Source organism: Homo sapiens, chromosome 16 (genome assembly GCF_000001405.40).
Source record: "Homo sapiens chromosome 16, GRCh38.p14 Primary Assembly".
NCBI lineage: Eukaryota > Metazoa > Chordata > Mammalia > Primates > Hominidae > Homo > Homo sapiens.
The window spans coordinates 86,081,231-86,100,606 of record NC_000016.10 but is presented as its reverse complement, the minus strand read 5'-3'; the positions used below and the strand labels follow the sequence as shown (position 1 = coordinate 86,100,606).

Sequence of the window (19,376 nt, the reverse complement as noted above, 5' to 3'; positions counted from 1 at the left end):
TAGCCAACTTTTTCTGTAAAAGGCCAGGTAGTAAGCGTTGTGGACTTTGTGAGCAGTCTCTTGGAACTGCTGAATTCTGCTGTCGTAGTTCAAAAACAGCTATAGACACTATGTCAACAAATGGATGTAACTGTGTACCAATAACATTTTATTGACAAGACAATGGGCATTGGCCATGTTTGTTTCATGAGCTATCATTTCCTGACTTCTAGTCTAGAGCAGGGCTGTGCAGGAGAAACAAAGTCTGCTCAGGTGTGGTGGTTCATGTCTAATCCCATCACTGTGGGAGGCTGAGTCTGGCAGATGGCTTGAGTCCAGGAGTTTGAGACCAGCCTGGGCAATATAGCAAAACTCCATTGCTACTAAAAATACAAAAACTTAGCCAAGCATGGTGGCATGCACCTGTAGTCCTAGCTACTTGGGAGGCCAAAGTGGGAGGATCACCTGAGCCTGACAGGTGAAGGCTGCAGTGAGTGGAGAGTGTGCCACTGCACTCCAGCCTGGGTGACAGTGTGAGACCTCATCTCAAAAAAAAGTCCGAGCCACACACGTAATTTAAAATTTTCTACTGATCACTTTTAAAAAGTAAAACAAAACAGGTGGGATTAATTTTCAGAATATATTTTATTTAATCCTGTATATAAATATGATTTCAATATGAAATTCAGGATATAAAGATTATGATGGGTATTAAAAATAATTTTTGTACCAAGTCTTTGAAATCTAGACCTCCGTGTGCACTGACGACACATCTCAGTTCGGATGAGCCACACTTGAGATGCGCAGAAGCCGCCTGTGGCCGAGCTGCTGAGCTGGAGGCTTGGACCTGCACCCACTTCACCTCCCACTCCTTTTACAAGATGGCATCTTCCACTCACTACACATATGGCTGTGAACAATTATTTAACCTCTCTATGTTCCCATTTTCTCTTCTGTGAAGTAAAGGCCACAATATAGGGGTCCCCAACTCCTGGGCCACAGACCCCTGGGACCAGTAGGTGGCCTGTTGGGAACCAGGCCACACAGCAAAAGGTGAGCTGCAGGCAATCGAGTGAAGCTTCATCTGTATTTGCAGCCACTCCGCATGGCTTGCCCGCCTCGCCACCTGAGCTCCGCCTCCTGTCAGATCAGACGCAGCATGAGATTCTCACAGGAGCTCCAGCCCTATTGTGAACCGCACATGCGAGGGATCTAGGTTGCACGCTCCGTATGAGAATCTAAATACCTGATGATCTGTCACTGTCTCCCATCACCCCCAGATAGGACCTTCTAGTTGCAGGAAAACAAGCTCAGGTCTCCCACTGCTTCTACATTATGGTGAGTTGTATAATTATTTCATTACATATTACAATGTAATAATAATGGAAATAAAGTGCAAAATAAATGTAATGTGTTTAAATCATCCCAACAGCATCCCCACTGCCCCCGTCCATGGAAAAGTTGTCTTCCAGGAAACTGGTCCCCTGTGCCAAAAAGGTTGGGGACTGCCTGTTGTCATACATCTCATAATGTTGGTGAGGAAGATGATGAAACGTCACTAGCCTAAGATCTGGCAAACAAAAGATGCTCAATAAGTGTAAACTCTTACGCTTGCTGCAAAGCCACAGGAAAACATGGTTCTTGTTAGCATTCTTATCCTCCCCTCACCCAGACTGTAATGGCCTTTAGAGATCAATGATCCCACCCAACTCTCAATGTACAGATGAACCAGCCTGAGGCCCAGAAAGGTTAAGTGACTTACCCAAAGCCACTCAGCCAGAAAGACCTAGAAGCCATAAGTAATCATGCATACATTTAAATACCTTTAAAACTGTCATTAATTTGTCCATTAAAAATTCAATGAGCTTAAAAATCAATGAATATAACTTATCACATTAATAGATTAAATAAGAAAAACCATATGATTATCTCAGTTAAATATGGAAAAAGCACATCAGTAGATATGACAAAATTCAACATCCCCTGATGGCTAACAAACCTCTCACAAAAGTAGGAATACAAGGACATTGCTTAGCTTAATAAAGAGACACCTACAAAAACCTATGATTAGCATCAGACTTCATGGTTAGAGACTGAATGCTACTCCCTTAAGACTGGAGAAGGCCAAGGAGTCCTCTCTCCACGTTCTATTCAGCATAATAGTGGAAGTCCTAGCCAGTGCAAAAAGACAAGTAAAAAAATAAAGGGCATACAAATTGAAAAGGAAGAAATAAGACTATCTTTATTTGCTGTTGACATGATTATCTACTTAGGAAAGAATCATTTTTAAAACTCCTAGAATAAATAAATGAGCTTAGCAAGGTCATACGATACGTTATCAAAATACAACAGTCAATTGTATATCTATACTAGCAATGAACAGTTAGGATTTGAAATTACAAAAATAATACCATTTATAATACTCCCCCTCCCCTGTAAACAAGAAATACTTAGGCATAAATATAACAAAATATGATAGTGCGTGTATGCTAAAAACTAAAAAACACTAATGAAATAAATAAAAGATCTAAATGCATGAAGAGATTACTGTGTCCATGGGTTGGAAGACTAAATACTGTTAAAATGTTGTCTTTCTAATTTTATCTACAGATTCATTGCAATTTCAATCCAAATCTCGGTATGCTTTTTTTTATAGATTTAGACAAATTGACTATAAAGTTAATATGGAAGGCAAAGGAACTAGAATGGCCAAAACAATTCTGAAACAGAAAAAAGTTGAATGATGCATATTCCCAGCTTCAAGACTTACTATAAAGCTACAGTAATCAAAACAGTATGGTATTGGTAAAAGGACAGACATAGAGGTCAATAAAGAAGAACAGAAAGCCCAGAAATTGACCCCCACCAATATGAGCAACTGAATTTTGGGAAAGTTGCAAAGGCAAATAATGGAGAAAGAATCATCTTTTCAACAAATGGCACTGGAACAATTCGCATATCCATATGCAAAAAAATAAATAAAACTTGACACATACCCCACATCTTACCCCAAAAATAACCCAGAATGGATGATTAACCTAAATGTAAGATGTAAAACTATAAAATTTCTAGAAAAAATATATGATAAAATCGACATCGTCTCATATTTGGTGACGAGTTTTTAGATATGGCACCAAGAGCACAATCCGTATGGAACAAAATTGAGAGGCTGTACTTTGTCAAATCCAGAACATTAACTTTGTGAAATATACTGTTAAGAGAATCAAAAGACCAGGAACAGACTTGGAGAAAATATTTTCAAATCACATAGCCATTAAAGGGACTTGTATCCAGAATATATAAAGAACGCTTAAAATTCAACAATAAGAAATCAAATAGACCAATTTTAAAAATGATCCCAAGATCTAAACAGATACTTCACCAAGGAGCATACATGGGTGGCAAATAAGCACACGAAAAGATTTTCAAGGCCATTTGCCATTTGGGAAATGCAAACTAAAACCACAATGAGATATCACTGTGTCCTTATTAGAATGTCTAAAATACAAAACAGTGGCAGGAATTCTCATTCCTTGCTGGCGGCACAAAATGGCACAGTCAGCTTTAATGATGGCCTCCGAGTTTCGGGGACCGCAAACTCCACCTGGATGATATCCCCTGGTTCTCAGCCTACCTCACCACCACAGCCCAAAGAATGCAAATCGTGCTTCAGCTCGGTCCTGTTTTCTTTCTCTTTATAGAATCCTGTTATCTGTACAGCTTCCTCTGAATTTATGTCTTTAAAAAATTTTTATAACCAACTTATCCTATGTCTCCCGACTCATCCTTAAACTTCCCAGCCCAAATACCCGTCTGACTTATCCGTTACACACACAGATTTCAAAGGTTCCCTTGGCGCAGACTTCTCAGAACCACTGATGCGCTAAAAGACGTAACGCCCCAGCCGGGAGCTAGGCATCAAGCGTGCAGTGTGCAAAAACATGTTTGACTGCAGGCTAGTTTTTTTTTTTTTCCCCCACAAATACTTTCATGGGACTGGGTTGTACAGGACTCTAATTTGGGAAATCCTGGACTAATAGTTTGAAAGACACTTCTTCTCTGGCTTGAACAACTTCAGATAAAGTGACCTGTACAGGTCTCCCAGCAAAGTCCACCCAGGGAGGTGGCGGAGTGGCTGTGTGGCCCCAAGTCAAGACAGGAACATGAAGCAGGGATGGGATCCATCTAGGCTCTGCCCACTTCTTCTGGTCTGACCTAGGGCTGGGACTGGGGGAGGCATCTACCAGGCAGTGGAGCAGGGATGGGGACCCATCTAGGATCTGCCCACCTCTTCTGGTCTGACCTAGGTTGGCACGGGGGGAGCCATCCCTGGGGGGCAGTGGAGCAGGATGGGGATCCATCTAGAATTTGCTCACCTCTTCCGGTCCGACCTAGGGCTGGGATTGGGAGAGGCATCCCTGGGGCAGTGGAGCAGGGATGGGGACCCTTCTAGGATGTGCTCACCTCTTCAGGTCTGACCTAGGGCTGGGACTCGGGGAGGCAGAGGCAGCACTGAGGAGTTATGGCAACCATGTCACCCAGTCTTCCCTGAGACTCCTACCCGCTTCTCTATCCATCCCTTGCCTGCTGGCTGCCAGTGAATACCCCTCCCAGGGTGTGTGTGCATGCCACTCAGTGACTCCTGGACATGCAGAGGCCACCAGGAACGAAGCTGGGCTGAGGAGTGGTGGGAGGCACTGGGAGGTGGACAGAGCCTCCTTAGACATTGAACAGGCTTTGCAAAACTTCTTAAGAGCCAGACCCAGGAGCTCTGAGGCCTGGGTGGAGGTATGTGTGGAGAAGGCTACATTCCTAAGTCAAGCCCCTGGCCCTGCCACCTAGGCCCCAAGCCAGGACCAAGGTATCTCTTCATCCTCTCTTCTTAGTGAAGTCAGACGTGGAGCAGGGACCTACCTATCCCCAGCTTCTCGACACTTCCCAGGGTTAGAGCAAACTTACAAATATCAAAAGCAGAATGCAGGTTTCTTTCAGCATGGCTAGGCACACACATAGTCCCCCACACATGTGCCTACATGCATGCATGTGCACACACGAACACGGGCCTGTATACACACGCAAGCATGCAAGTGTACACAGGCAAACACATCCACACACATGCACCTATGCGCGCATCCATACACATCCATGCACATGGGAACACACACGTATACATGTAAACATGCACACAGCCACTCACAAACATGTACACAGGCATGAACATACATGCATATGCACGTGCAAGCACACAGCCTTCCCTGGAGGGTGGGAGGCCAGACACTCGTTCTGTGCCACCTTCTCCCAGCACCTGTGTCCAGGTGAAATGGAGCACTGAGAAGTGGACAAGCCTGGGCCATAGAGGGGGTGGATTTGGAACCAAATCCTCTCCCCGCGGCTCAGCTGGGTGGCCCAAGCCTGGCAGGAAGCTGATCCACACGAGGACACGGCATCATCTGCCTCATCCACCACCGTCTCCCTTGCACCAAAGACAAGACCTGGGACTCAGAAAGTATGTGTCCAGTGAATGAGTGAGTGAGTAAATTAATGAAGACGCTTCCCCTTTCTGAGCCTCTACTTTCTCATCCATGAATGGAGGCCTCAGAGCTACCTCCCAAGGCTGCCAAGTGGAGGGGTAAGGCATAGAAGCTCTGAGCACAGCACTGGACACACAATGCGCTCAGCAGGAAGAAATGCGCCGTCCCGCTGCCACGCTCCCAGCAGCCAGAGGGAAGGTGATAACAAGGATATCATCGTAAGAGCAGGAACAGTACTGGGAACACGGCTGAGACGCCGAGGACCTTCTAGGACTGTGCAAAGGGCTTCCGCACAGATGTCCCCACTGAGTGCTCCAGCAGCCTCTTAGATGGGTGCAGGTATCAGCCTCATTTTTCAGGTGAGAAAACTGAGGCCTAGAGAAGTTAAGAGACTTTGTTCAAGGCCACAGGTCAGTATACGGGAGCCAGGATTCTGACCCAGGCAGCTGGGTTCCCCAACCCACCCGGGTTGGAGCTTCTCTGCCCCTGTGGGGACCTGCCTCATGCCTGGAAGGAGCACCCCAGCCCTGCAGGGAGTGTGCAGCCACCCTGGACCCCTCTTTCCCAGTGCTGCCCAATCCAGCAGCTCCCAGGCCAGGCCACTACATCCTGGACACACTCAGGGCCCCTCCCATACATGGCTGCACTCCCAGGCTTGGGTGCTGCCCAGCCTTGAGCACCCCACCTCCTGATGCCAGAACCCTGGAGCTCAGAACTTGGCCTCCTGGCCAGGTGCAGCTGCAGCTGCCAAGACTCAGTCCAGGGGAGCCTGAGGGGCCAGGCACCCAGGAAGATGACCTGGTGCAGGCCTTTTTCGGAAAGTGAGTCCAAGCCGGTCTTCCAGGGAAGGGGCCAGAGGCCTCACTACGGACAGCATTTCTGGACTCCAGTCTCTCCAGGGCCCAGTGAGAGGTGGGGACAGTGGACAGGCTTGTATGGGAGGTGGCGGTCCATGCTGCAGCCAGATTTGTGTTCATTTCCCTTCTGCAAGCACCCCGCGCTGTGTTTGTTCCAAGACCTCGGTGCTTTCCTGCGTTCCTGGCAGCCTCCTGTGCCCTAGTTAGGTGGGCCCACCCGCAGCTGTGGCCTCACCCGGGACCCAGGCCTGCCTCCCAGGCCACAGGCACCCAAAGGAGCCCCAGTGTCCTCAGTCTGCCAGGATCCCCAGTAGCACCCCCTGCAGGCCTGCCCAGAAGAGAGCCAGGAAGCGACCACTCACTGCCCTCCAGGTAAAAAGGCCATCGGATCTATTCCAGACATGCACCTCCATTTGGGGAGAGGAGAGAGGGGTTGGAGGACAGAGTTCATGAGCCTAGATGGAATTTTTCAGACAGGGAGCCAAGTTGAAAGTGAGCAAAACAGTTCTCAGTGTTCCTAACTGTAAAATAGGGCTGAAGCTAGAACTTAGCTTGAAAGGTGACCATGAGGACCTATCAGGCAATAAATGCATGGCTCTTAAAAAAAAAAAAAAAAACAGGGCACAGAGTTACGGTGAGGGCTAGGAGCAGGGGTAGCTTATACAATAATGAATATTGTAACCACAGCCACAATCACCATCTCAATAAACCCATGTGGTGCGGATACAGCCCTGGTTAATCTTCACGTGCCTCTCAAAAACCATCCACAGTTTTCCTGGGTCCTTCCACAGCCTCTTCCGCATCCTGTGACTGCTTCTTAACTGTTGCATAATTTTGCTGTTTGGAGGAGGAGGAATTCGGGAAAACCTCAGGCCTTCCCACCTCTGGCGTCTGTCCTGTGCCGAGGCCGGCCGGGAAGGACACCTGGGGAGATGCAGGCTCAGATGGACTCAACAGTTTGCCGCTGTGTGACCTTGGGCAATTGCGTCAATGCCCCCAGACCCGGTTTCCTCCTCTCTACATAGAGGATGGGGGTTGTTGCAAGGATTGAGATTTGGGGCACTGAGTACTTAGCCTGGGGAGTGAGTGGAATGGTGGCCCCCGATAAGAGATGTCCACAGCCCAAGCCCTGAGGCCTGCGCATGGGAGCCCACTTGGAAAAGCAGTTTTTGCAGATGGGATTAAGTTAGGGATCTGCAGATGAGAGTGTCCTCAATGAGGTTGGGCCCCAGATCGAACGACAGGACTCCTCATAAGAAACAGAAGAGGAGACGATGTGTCCACATGGCGGAGATTGGAGCGATGCAGCTGCAAGCCCAGGAATACGCGGGGCCACCGGGAACTGGAGGAGGTGGGAAGGATCCCCCTCTAGAGGTTTTGGAGGGGGCACAACCCTGCCAAGGCCTTGATGTTGGACTTCCAGCCTCCAGGACTGGGAGAGGACACGTTTCTGTGGCTGTGAGCCTTCCAGCTGATGTGTTCTAGCATCGCAGGAGACACAAACAGCCCAGGTCCCGGCCCGTGTTCCAAGCTCAGTAAGCGCCAGCAGTTCCTCACCCGCCCAGTGTGTAGGGAGCCCCTGGCACTGGAGACCACGGGGGAGTCATTAATAATAACCATTCACATGTTATTATTAGCCTGTTACGCTGGAATTGCAATACATTACACTTTCTCGTCATTGGGGGCCTTCTTAGTAAATGCCCTCAGGAGAGTGTCTTTTTTTTTTTTTTTTTTTTTTTTTTGAGACAGAGTCTCACTCGCCCAGACTGGAGTGTAGTGGTGCCATCTCAGCCACTGCAGCCTCTGCCTCCCAGGTTCAAGCAATTCTCCTGCCTCAGCCTCCTGAGTAGCTGGGACTACAGGAGCCCACCACCATGCCTGTTTTCTTTTTGTATTTTTAATAGAGGTGGGGTTCCACCATGTTGGCCAGGCTGGTCTCGAACTCCTGACTTCAAGTGATCCACCCACCCCAGCCTCTCAAAGTGCCAGGATACAGGCGTGAGCCACCACGCCTGGCCAGGATGGTGTCTAATCACAGCAAATCCCAACTCCACGGGGAATTCCAAAACCCTAGGCACAACCATCTCTTCATTTCCCTTCCTCGGTCCGGGCCTCCTCTGCCTCCTTGCTGAGGCCTCTTTGCATATTCTGCAGGCTTCTCCAAGCCCCGATTTGGGAATGGCCCATTCTGCAAGCCCTTCCAGAGACACCTTGAGTAACTTTCCCAGTAACTACTAAAGATGCCCTGTGAGTGGCCTCCTCTCGGAGATTTGTAAACTGAGGCTGGCACATACTGGTGGGGGTGGGGATCCAAATTGTTTCACGGACTAATATTGGCCCTGAATGAGCTTTTAAAGCCCCTGATCCTAGAGACAATGGGACATCATTTTATCACCACTCCTTTCAAAAATCCACCCCAAACCCACATAGCTCCCCTGTCCTCACCGTGGTCTATTTTATTTTTACAATCTTTATTGTCTCCTATCCAACTACATATTTTACTCCTTTGCTATGTTTTGCTATCTCACCACTGGAGGATAAACCACAGAGGGCAGGGATTTTTTCGTTTGTTTGTTTAGAGGTTTATCTCCCTACTAATGTTATCTCTTATTCCTAGAATAGTGCCTGGTACACAGCAGCTGCTTAATAAATATTTCTTCAGTAAATGATTAGAATCCCCCTGTACCTCATATATAATTCAAAGTAAGGACAATGTGGCCAGGCATGGTGGCTCATGCCTGTAATCCCAGCATTTTGAGAGGCTGAGGTGGGAGGATTGCTTGAAGACAGGAGTTTGAAATAAGCCTGGGCAACATAGTGAGACCCCCACCACTACAAAAAAAAAAAGTTAAAAATTAGCCACAGCTACTTTTTGTGGCTAATTTTAATAATGGTGGCCTGCAGCTGTAGTCCCAGCTACTTGGGAGGCTGTGGTGGGAGAATTGCTTGAACCCAGGGAGGCTGACGCTGCAGTGAGCGGTGATCGCACCACTGCACTCCATCCTGGGTGACAGAGGGAGAACCTGTACCCTACCCCCACAAAAAGAGAATGCAAATAGAATTCCTCTTTGCTGACATTCAATAGCTAGATTTTCTGGTTGTGGTGTTCTGGAAAGTTCATTGGAAATAGGACTTTTCTTATTTCTCTGGGGCCCCTTGAGTTTCTGATGTCTTAGATCTAGAGAGCCCATACAGGCTTCACAGCTTTCAAGCCCACCCCTTGAACCCAGGGTCCTCAACTGTGTGTCCATGAATGCTCTGGCTGAGGAGTTCACCCACCCCTTCCCACTCCAAGCCTGGAGCCACCACACACAGAAACCAAGACCCTCCACTCCCACAGACACTGTTCCCCTGTAAGCATCCATCCTGATTCCAAAGAGCCTACTGGATTTTTCCTCCCAGAGAAAAACTGAGTCAATTCTTAGAGATCTGAGCCCTGTGGTTCACACCAAGGTGACTTCAACAGGGTCTGGCCTAGGAGTGGCTGAGTCCTCCCTCGGGCCACCCGCCACCCAAGCATGGTGGCAACTTAATCCATCCCACATGGAGCCCCCGGTAGATGCTGACCTTTGCCCTTTAACCCCAAGACCCGGCTGCCCTGGCAGAACTACCGTGTGTCCCTTGATAACCTCCCTGACATAATTCAACTGGACTCACACAGGCTGCAGAGATGGCCCGATAACGACGCTACATTCTGGGGTCAAGTTAGAAGGGCACAGCGACAGCCCACACTGCCTACAAAAAAAAAACAAAAAACAGTCACCAGACCCCTAAGAACAGACACCACTGTGTTCTAAAATGCCTTTGCTCTGGAAACCCAGGGAAAGAACACAGGCTAGGGCAGAGACTAAAGGAGAGACTCCACCGTGGCAGACAGCAGCCAAACCCACCCAAGAAGTCTCTCGTTCATTTGGGAAAAGCTCCCAAGCCCTGAGGAGGAACAACCAGGGTACTGGCCTTGTTCCTGTTTTTCAAATACAAATTGCAAAAGTGGACCCACGGGCCTTAAGGGAGAGTCCCCAGGGGCAGGGCCATAGCACATGGTCCCCAGGAAGTGGGTACAGGGCCCTGAATCTCTTAGGCATGAAAATGAAAGTCATGTCTCGGTGGAGGCTGCTGAAAGTCACCTGGGAAGTGACCTGTGAGTGCAGACGGTGCTTCCTGGCCAGGGAGCAACAACCTTCCCTGGGGGGCTGCAGAGTCACCTGGGCCTGGGTTCAAATCCCAGCTCCATCTCTTCCTAGCTGAGCAACACTGGCAAAGTCACGCATTCTCTCTTGGCCTCAGTTCCCTCATCTATAAGATGGGGCTGAGAAGAGGACTGTGGAGGGAACATGGGGAGATGATGCTCCTAGCAGCACGCAGCACATAGTTAACAGGTAGGAATGGTTCCGTCAATAACATCCCCTGCTCTCCCTGGGGGTGTGGTCGAGATCCCCCTGAATCCCCTCACTGGGAAGGCAAGAGAGCCAAATCCAGACCCTCCCAGCCCAGCTCCCCCTCGGGCCTCTGGCCCCTGCGTCTGGCTTCCCTGTGAGTTTGTGTTGCAGGAACAGGGCTCCCAGTTCCAGCTGCCAGCGTCTCCCCCAATCTGAGCCCATTTCCTCACCTGTAAACGCGAGTCACCCCATGCCTGTCTGCAAAACGGGCATCACAATAGGCCCTCCCTCCCGGCAACCATGGAGATTGAATGAGCTGGGCCAAAGAGCAGGAGGCACAGCCCGGGCTCAGGGGCCAACACTGAGCTGCACACGGAGCTGGGGTATGGTTACCCTGCTCAGAGCCTGGGATCCCTCGGCTGCAGCGCAGGCTCAGGGACACCTGCCCTGACAGGGGTGTTGCAGAGAATGACATCCATACATGGCCTGGCACACAGTGGTAGGTCTTCCACTTCTGCTATTTATTATTGCCATTCTTGTTATCATCTACCTGGCTAATGAGGATCACCTCCTTGAGGCAGGTGGAGGTCACCCACAGGGCAACTGACAGGGGCCGTCTGGTCCCCTGGGCATTCCCCATCCCCCCCATCCCCCACCTAGAAGATAATGTCCAACAAAGACCATCTGAGCGGGAGTGTCAGCCGGCAGCCTCTCTGAGTACAGATGTGTCAGTGGCCAGAGGCCACTCCCAGGCTGCAGGTAAGCCAGGCAGCTTTCAGGGGCGGAGCGCATCCAGGGAGGGTCCAGAGACCCTGGGGCACCCCTGTGGGAGCCTCAGCTCTGCCTGCCCTTACGTCCATTGCTCCCGCCTTGCCTTGCTCAGCTGGCTACACCGGGCACTGGGAGATGCTCAAAGAGCGAGCTGGAGGGATGCTGGGTCCCCTTAGCCATGGCATGCCAGAAATCCCTCACCTACCTGCCTTAAGCGAGCAGACCCAGGGGCAGGGCCACAGCACATGGTCCCCAGGAAGTGGGTACAGGGCCCTGAATCTCTTAGGCATGAAAATGAAAGTCACATCCTGGGGTGGGGGGCGGGGTGGGAGGGGTGGGGGGTTGGGGAGTGGTGCGAGATGGGGGTTGGGGAGCTGCTGAAAGTCACCTGGGGCTGCTGAAATTCCTTTGTCTAGAATTAGCCCCTGGAGTTTCATTTGTCATCTGGGGTCAGTTGAAAGTGCGACATAGCAACCCTGCATCTTGGCAATCTGTCCTCACATTGACCAGCAAGCAACTCTGTACACTGAGGACGCCCATCTCAACACGGAATGTGATGCAAAAACTTATTTGGACACAACAGAAGTCTCACATAACAGTGATGACGAACATCTTGTCCATGGCCTGACTGGGAGTTCCCTCTGCAACCACAGGTTAGCTTAGAAGACAATATTGCTTTGCTTTGTTTAATTGTATAACTCATCCAAGCTCATAGAATTGGAAACTGTAAACAAAGAAAAATCTGCATCTCCTGTTGTAACACACCACAGATAAGCCTCATGTATCACCACTTTGGACGACATAGTCTTGTCAAGTCTATGAAAAAGATGTGGGGCGACCAGGTGGGTTCAGAACGTGGAGGCCAGAGAGGAGTGAGAGGTGCTGTGGGGCCCCAGCTAGGGGTAACCCCTGCTGGCTTGATGAATGGACCTATCCCCTTTCGACAGGCCTCGCAGACACCAGGCCAGATAAGCACATCGTCCGTCCAGGCCATTTTTCCCCCGCTATCTCTTGCTGAGGCGATGCTAACATACCGCCAGCCCTCTGTGTGATGGATGGCCTTGGGAAGCCGGCTCACCCCCACCGATTACACCAACCCTCGGAGGGGCTTCCCAGTGCCCGCCTGCTCATTTTCAAGACTGGTTCCCTTGGGGGTAAAAAATGAGCACCCCAGGGGTCCTTTCTGGGGCTTCACACACGTTCATACACATCTGTGCCCACGTGCACACACAGGTGCATTTGTGCCTTGACCCAGCCAACGTTTAAAGCTTGGAACTTGGCAAGTCTAGTTCCCAGGAAGTCGCCCAGGATCACACGGCCAGACATTTGCCTCTTACTAACACTGTGTTAAGTCTCTATCGGGATCCCCTCCAGTTCCAAAGCGGCTGAGACACAGACAAAGCTATCTTGGATGAGACCTGCCAACCGCCACCCCCTCGGCTCATCTTGGTCCGAGTCAAGCACCAGACACCTCAGACCCCACTATTTCCTGGGAAATGTAGAGCAATGGTTTCTCTCCTGCCAAAATCCTCAAAGGCAGCCAGAAACAGTAGAGTGATTAGGAAGCCTTACGCTGGACACACTTCCAAGCTGCAAGCTTCCTGTGAAGCAAAACAGAACAGACTTCATATGGTGGAGTCAACCAACATGGGCGCGTCCCAGGGCCCAGCAGCATAAACATCGGGCTCTCTGATCCCGACCTCCCGACATACCCATTTGTCCTGGCCGCTCCTCGGACACATGAATGCCTGTCTCAAACCCCACCCTTCACCGCCAGCAGTCTCCGGGGAAGTGACAAACACCGGATAGAGCCAATGGGCCCCCGGAGTCCGGATGCCCACCATCCGGGGCTGTTTATGTTTGAGCCCATCTTGGAAGAAAAATGTGAGAACGCCTGTTCAGAACATGGTGGCCAAGCCGGGTCCATCCGGTGCCAGGGAGCCAAACACAATGGGAAAGGAGGCGCAGACGCGGCGGAAGGATAGGGCCGGGCATGGCCCGCCGAGGGAGACCGCTGGGCCAGGTTGGGTCCTTCCCTGCGCCCTCCTTGTCCCTACGCTGTGAAAAGGCACCTGGGTTCTTCTTCCCTCCACCCGGGACTCTCTGATCACTCATACCTCCCTCTTGGCCCACCGAGTCGTGTGAGCCACATCCTTCACTCTGCCCGTAAAACCACCAAGTTTTAGGCAGCGGACAGTCAAGACAGACAGGCAAGAGTTTCTTGTGAGAGTTGTCAGTGAAAGCACTTTCTCGTAGCAGAGCCTTATGTTATTCCCAGCTGAAATGCTGTTGCTCTTTCCAAGGAAGGATAGGTTTCTTCTGGAGGAGAGGCAGAGGTGTGCTCTCCAGACCCCACCGCCATGCTGGGCGCGAAAACAGCCCTCCTTCAGGAAGACACCAGCCTTTGAGCAACCTGGAGTCCTGAGGCCTGTGGCTTCCTGGGAACCTATAACCGCATCAGACGTTGAGGCAGAGTTGCTGTTACCAGTTTCACATCTTAGTAAGAGCCACCGTTTTTGACATGTCAACAACCCTCCCAAAAAAGCACAAATCAATCAGTGTTTATTAAAAGGCCACCTTGTGCAAAGGGCTGTTGGTTAAAACACATCAATGCCTGAGATACTCAGGGAAAGGCTGGTTGCCTTTGGGAAGCAGGAACCCTCATCTTGGATTGTCAGAAGACTTGCTTTGGGGAGACCCTCAGTTCCTGTTTCTAGTAAGTTTCTGTCTTTTGATTCATGACGTGACTGCAGGCAAGTGCTCGGGGTTTTTCAACTGCAAAATGGAGATAACAATGGTACCCACCTCTCTCGAGGGGTGGCTGTGAAAATTAAATGAGATGATGCACGTAAAATTATGATAACCGTGCTCTTAACCTCAAAAATCTGCATTAGAAATTATATGGTTTGAACCGCGTCTAACCAAGACTCCAATAAACAAAAGTCCATTTCTCTCGCTCATGGAAGCCCAAGCTCTGATCTGCAAAGTCCACAGGGGCTCCAGCTCCCTCCGCCTTGCTGTGCGTGTCCCCCTGGGAGTGTGTCCTCATCTGCAAGGCCCTGAGCAGCTCACCCTCACCCACAGTGCACACCCCGAGGGTAGGAGGATGAAGGGATGCTGGGCAGAGTCACGTGGACACACCCAGCTCTAAGGGAGGATGGGAAATGGAGTCTTTATTTTGGGCAGTCATTTCCTTTGCTTAAAATTGGGAGGATTACAACATACAGGAAAGGAAAATGGATAAGGGTGTTAATAGGCCGTCTCAGCCACCCCCTAGGAGGTAAGGATTGTTATCACATGTTATACATGGCAACACCGAGGCTCAGAAAGGTGAAAGAAATTGCTCCAAAGTACACAGCTTCTTAAAAACCCTCAGTCTTGCCCACTGGGCTGCACTACCTCCTAAGCAGTGGTGAGGAGGTGGTGCTTTCTCTGCGCTGACACGTGGAATTACACAGAAGAACAGGGTGGTCACTGGGAGCCTGGGTGGGTGGCGGGCAGCATAGGTGAGCTGACACCCATTTGTCCTGGGGGCCTCCCAGGGAAGAGAGACCCCCATTCCCAAGGCAGGGGCAGGTTCTCAGGAATGCGGCTTCTCCAAGCAGGAGGCAGTCCGGAGGCCTTTTCCACACTGCTCATTTCTTCCACCGTCCTGAAGGCTTAGGAGAGCAGAAGGGAGTCTCTCCCAAGCGCCGGCTGGTGGGCGCACCTCCCCGGTGCTCCCTGCAGGGCAGTGCCCAGTGGGGTGGGGCCTGGGGGGGCTAACAGCTCCAGAGCCACGCTCTACATGCGATGGGGGCTGGGAGGAAAGAAAACCAGGCTGGCAAAGGGGTCAAGGCGGAGGTGGGTGCCCCGTGGGGCAGACTCCCTACTCCTGCTTATGGCCCCAGACCCCTGCTGGGTGCTGGTCTTGCATCTCACCCAGCACAGGGCCAGGCACTTCACCCACATGGATGACCCACCACTACTGGCAGCAGCCCAAAGAGGTGGGTACTGCTACTATTCCCAATGCCCAATAAGGATATCAAGGCCTAGAGACACGAATTAACTAACTCAAGTGATTCAGGGAGCCCAGAAGGGGCTTTGAACTCAAGTGGTTGGGCACTATGACATTAGCCTGGTCCCATGAATAATCACCGTCTTTGCAGCCTAGGGAAAGTTCAAAGGCAATGCCGCTCAAGGCCACCTCCCAACAAACGCCTCCACCAAACATCGTTTATATAGACATTCCGGAGACACCCCTCAGACAGGTCTGGGGGTCCAAGAGATTTCCATTCGAAAAGAATATCTCAGGCTGGGCTCAGTGGCTTACGCCTGCAAGCCCAGCACTCTGGGAGGTCAGGCAGGCAGATCACTTGGGCCCTCCTAGGAGTTCGAGATCAGCCTGTGCAACACGGAGACCCCGTCCCTACAAAAAATACAAAAATTAGCTGGGTGTGGTGGTGCATGCCTGTGGTCCCAGCTACTCGGGAGGCTGAGGTGGGAGGATCACTTGAGCCTGGGAGGTAGAGGCTGCAATGAGCTGAGATCACACCACTGCACTCCAGCCTGGGTGACAGAGTGAGAATATGTTTCAGAGAAAAAAATAGGAATATTTCTGCCCCAAGGGTATTGGGCTCACACTGCCTGTGTGCAGATTGTGATTCTGCCTTCCTAGCTGTGTCTCCTTTAAGGATCTTCTCCTCTCTGGCCTCAGTTTCCTCATCCGTAGCATGGGGAGGAGAGTGCTCCCTGCAGGGCTGTTGGGAGAAGGCCATGAGGGCTGTTGGAAGAAGGCCACCTCTCAAATAGTGACAGGCGTTGGCATTGCTGTCCTTTGTCGTATTATTTATGAGATATTCTTTATATTTCAAATTAGATCATAATTTTTAAAAATTAAGTGCAGGACAAAAGAAACAGAGGGGAACCCACAGATGAAAAGGATCTTAAACCAGATTGTAGCCAACTACAAAAGAAACCTCAGTCATCATCATGGGCCACACAGCCCCTTTGTGTACCTATTGATTATACAACTACATAAATATGTCACTAACAAAAATAAATGCATGACTTTTTTTTTAATTACTTAAACTTTAAACCATGGTTCTTGCCCCCAGAGAAGCTGGTCTGGACACAAATAAACCCAATCTAAGGGAGGCATGCTCAGGGCACTGAGGTCAGCCCCAGCTGCCATGCATGCAGGTGACATGTGAGGTGCCATTCTGGTGCCAAGATTTCCTCAAAACAAAATGGTGCAGGTCGCAGGAGGCTCATCTCACTGGGGAGGAAGCCGAAGCTCAAGGAAGCCACTAGTCCCAGTTACGCCACTGGGCTGGTCAGTGCAGAGTTGGGACTGCACTCCAATTGTGTCTGGCTCCAGAGTCCCAAGACAGCATGGCTGGGCTTATGCCCGGCCCCCCACAAGCAGACCCTGAGACAAGGATTTGAGCATGAGAGTTGATTTGGGGGATGACCAGAGCAGCAGTGAAGTGGAGAGGCAAGGTCGGGGAGGAGGGCCACAGCACAGGGACCTCACAGAGCAGGGGCTTCATGGCAAGTGGGCTCAGTCCCCCCAGAGAGCTCTGGGAGTGGTGGAGAGCTCGCCCCCAAGGCATCCTCCCAATGCGAGAGAGAGCTGGGGTGCTGACCCACCAGCCCCCATCTGTCACCAATCCTGAGAGACTCCAAGGCCTTTGTTCCCTGCCCTTTCTGGCCCGCCCTGTAGGTGGACTGAGCATTTTCCCATGGTCAGAGAAAGTCTCTGGCATGGATTCTCACATACGTTGGGGTGGGAAACCATCAGCTTGTTCAGGAGCCTTGAATGCTGAGAAAGTATGGGCGGGGCTGCAAATGCCTGACCCCCACATGTGCCTGCACAGAAACCCTCCACCCCTGCAATATGATCCAGGGACCCACACTCACTGCTCTGTGTGGATGGCTTACATTCCATTTCCGTTCCTTTCTCTTATCTCTACTTATATAAATATCCTTTATAACAAGAAAAGAGCAATAAAAATAATTGTGAATTTTTAAAAAGACACAAGAACTATTCCCCAAACTGTTTCCCCAGAAGAGTCAGCATTGCATGGAGCAGGCGGGGAGTGGGAGGTGACTGGACAGCCCCTCAGCGTCTGGACAGAGCTTCCTTCTCACAGGGTCCCTGCCTCCTCCTCGGACACCTGTGGTCTGTCAGGTGACACATCATTCCTGTCCATCAGCAGCCCCAGGCCATCGCTGCCAGCTCTGATAACCCAGTCATGACAAGGCCCCCTTTGGATAGAAATTCCTCACTTCCTGGTGGTCAGGCTTGCACTGACCCCCATGGTCAGTGTGGGAGCTGGCCGTTTTTATTTTGGTGCATACAAATTAATATCAGCCCACTGCCTGTGGAGAGAACGCACCCGTGGTGCACGAGCATCTGCATATCCCTCACTGTGTGGGCTTAGGGTCTCCACGGAGACACCTGCTTCCCTCTCCTCCCATCCTCCCATTGCACCATGGGACATCAAGGGGCAGCAGCTCTTGACCCCTGCTGATGCCCAGCCCTCCAAACATCAGCTGTCCATCCACGCCTCCTGCTGCAGATTGCATGCCACACTCACCATCCCAGGGCAAAGTGCAGTGAAACAGCCCATGCCCCACTTCTCTCTCTTTGATATTTTTTCCCTGCCATCCTTTAAAAGCTTGACCCTCTCACTGTCTCCACCTTCATCCCATCAAAACCTGCTCCAAAAAAGAATATGTCAACAGTCATCCTCACCACGTGTGAATCAGATGGGTCACAGGATGATGGTTTGGGGGCAAAAGGGTCTTTACAAACTGCCAGGAGATGTGCAGCAGCTTTTATGAATGCTGAGCCTCTGCCTGCCCTGGGTCCCAGCAATTGCAACTCTGGGTACACATGCAACAAAAATGCTTACGGACATTCACAAGAACCCATATGCAAAAATGCTCATCCCAGGCCGGGCGCGGTGGCTCATGCCTGTAATCCCAGAACTTTGGGAGGCTGAGGCAGGCGGATCACAAGGTCAGGAGATGGAGACCTTCCTGGCTAACATGGTGAAACCCCGACTCTACTGAAAAAAAAAAAGTTAGCCGGGCGTGGTAGCAGGCACCTGTATTCCCAGCTACTCGGGAGGCTGAGGCAGGAGAATGGCATGAACCCAGGAGGCGGAGCTTGCAGTGAGCTGAGATTGTGCCACTGCACTCCAGCCTGGGTGACAGAGAAAGACTCCATCTCAAAAAAAAAAAAAAAAAAAAAAAAAAAAAAAAAAAAAAAAAGAGTGCTCATCCCAGAACAATTGATAATCATGAAGAACTGGAAGCCACCGAAAGCTCATCACTGGGAATGCAGAATGGATGGTGACATGGGCTGCGTCCACAGCACAGAGTGCTCTGCCACAGAAAAAACGAAGCCTCAGGCCAGCCCAAACTAGCTCCATGGAGAGGCCTGGGATGCTGTCCGTTCATTTGCCTTCAACAGAGAACCAAGGTCACCTCCTGAGCACAGTAAATTTAGAGCCACTTCTCAGAATTCTGCATCTCAGGGGGCAGAGGCTTGGCCTGAAACCCTGCAGAAGCCAGCCGTGCTGTGTGACCACGGGCAAGAGGCTTAAACCCTCTGTGCCTTTGCTTCCTCTCTGAAAAACGGAGATAATAATGGCACCTGTCATCAGTATAAATAAAATAACATATACTCATATAATTTAATAATATAATTAAGCAAGGATAATGGTAACCACAGTGTTTGTGGCAAGGATTTGATCAGTTCCCGTGTGTAGAGCTCGCGAAACATGGCCTGGCACACAGCAAGGGACCTCGGCATGGTTATTAATATTTTTATTATTATTATTAGGCAGAAGGTGGAATGGTAGAAAGAT

At 50.4% G+C, this 19,376-nt stretch overlaps 1 long non-coding RNA gene across 2 annotated transcripts, besides 2 other annotated features; it reads left to right on the top strand.

The window, feature by feature from the left end:
* The first annotated feature begins 11,064 nt into the window (after positions 1-11,064).
* Positions 11,065-14,104, top strand: LOC124903742 (uncharacterized). 2 transcript variants are annotated; one of them, XR_007065162.1, is made up of 2 exons: positions 11,065-11,245; positions 11,934-14,104. It is a non-coding gene; the product is annotated as an uncharacterized LOC124903742 (long non-coding RNA). The 2 variants fall into 2 exon arrangements; XR_007065163.1 differs by having other exon boundaries at positions 11,074-11,505.
* Positions 11,819-12,443: an enhancer, noted in NCBI's record as "H3K4me1 hESC enhancer chr16:86121770-86122394 (GRCh37/hg19 assembly coordinates)". NCBI's record gives its function as "activates a minimal SCP1, AML or CMV promoter by ChIP-STARR-seq in naive and primed H9 embryonic stem cells {active_cell/tissue: H9 hESC(naive and primed)}" and the evidence as "EXISTENCE:reporter gene assay evidence [ECO:0000049][PMID:30033119]".
* Positions 12,444-13,069: an enhancer, noted in NCBI's record as "H3K4me1 hESC enhancer chr16:86121144-86121769 (GRCh37/hg19 assembly coordinates)". NCBI's record gives its function as "activates a minimal SCP1, AML or CMV promoter by ChIP-STARR-seq in naive H9 embryonic stem cells {active_cell/tissue: H9 hESC(naive)}" and the evidence as "EXISTENCE:reporter gene assay evidence [ECO:0000049][PMID:30033119]".
* Positions 14,105-19,376: the final 5,272 nt, after the last annotated feature.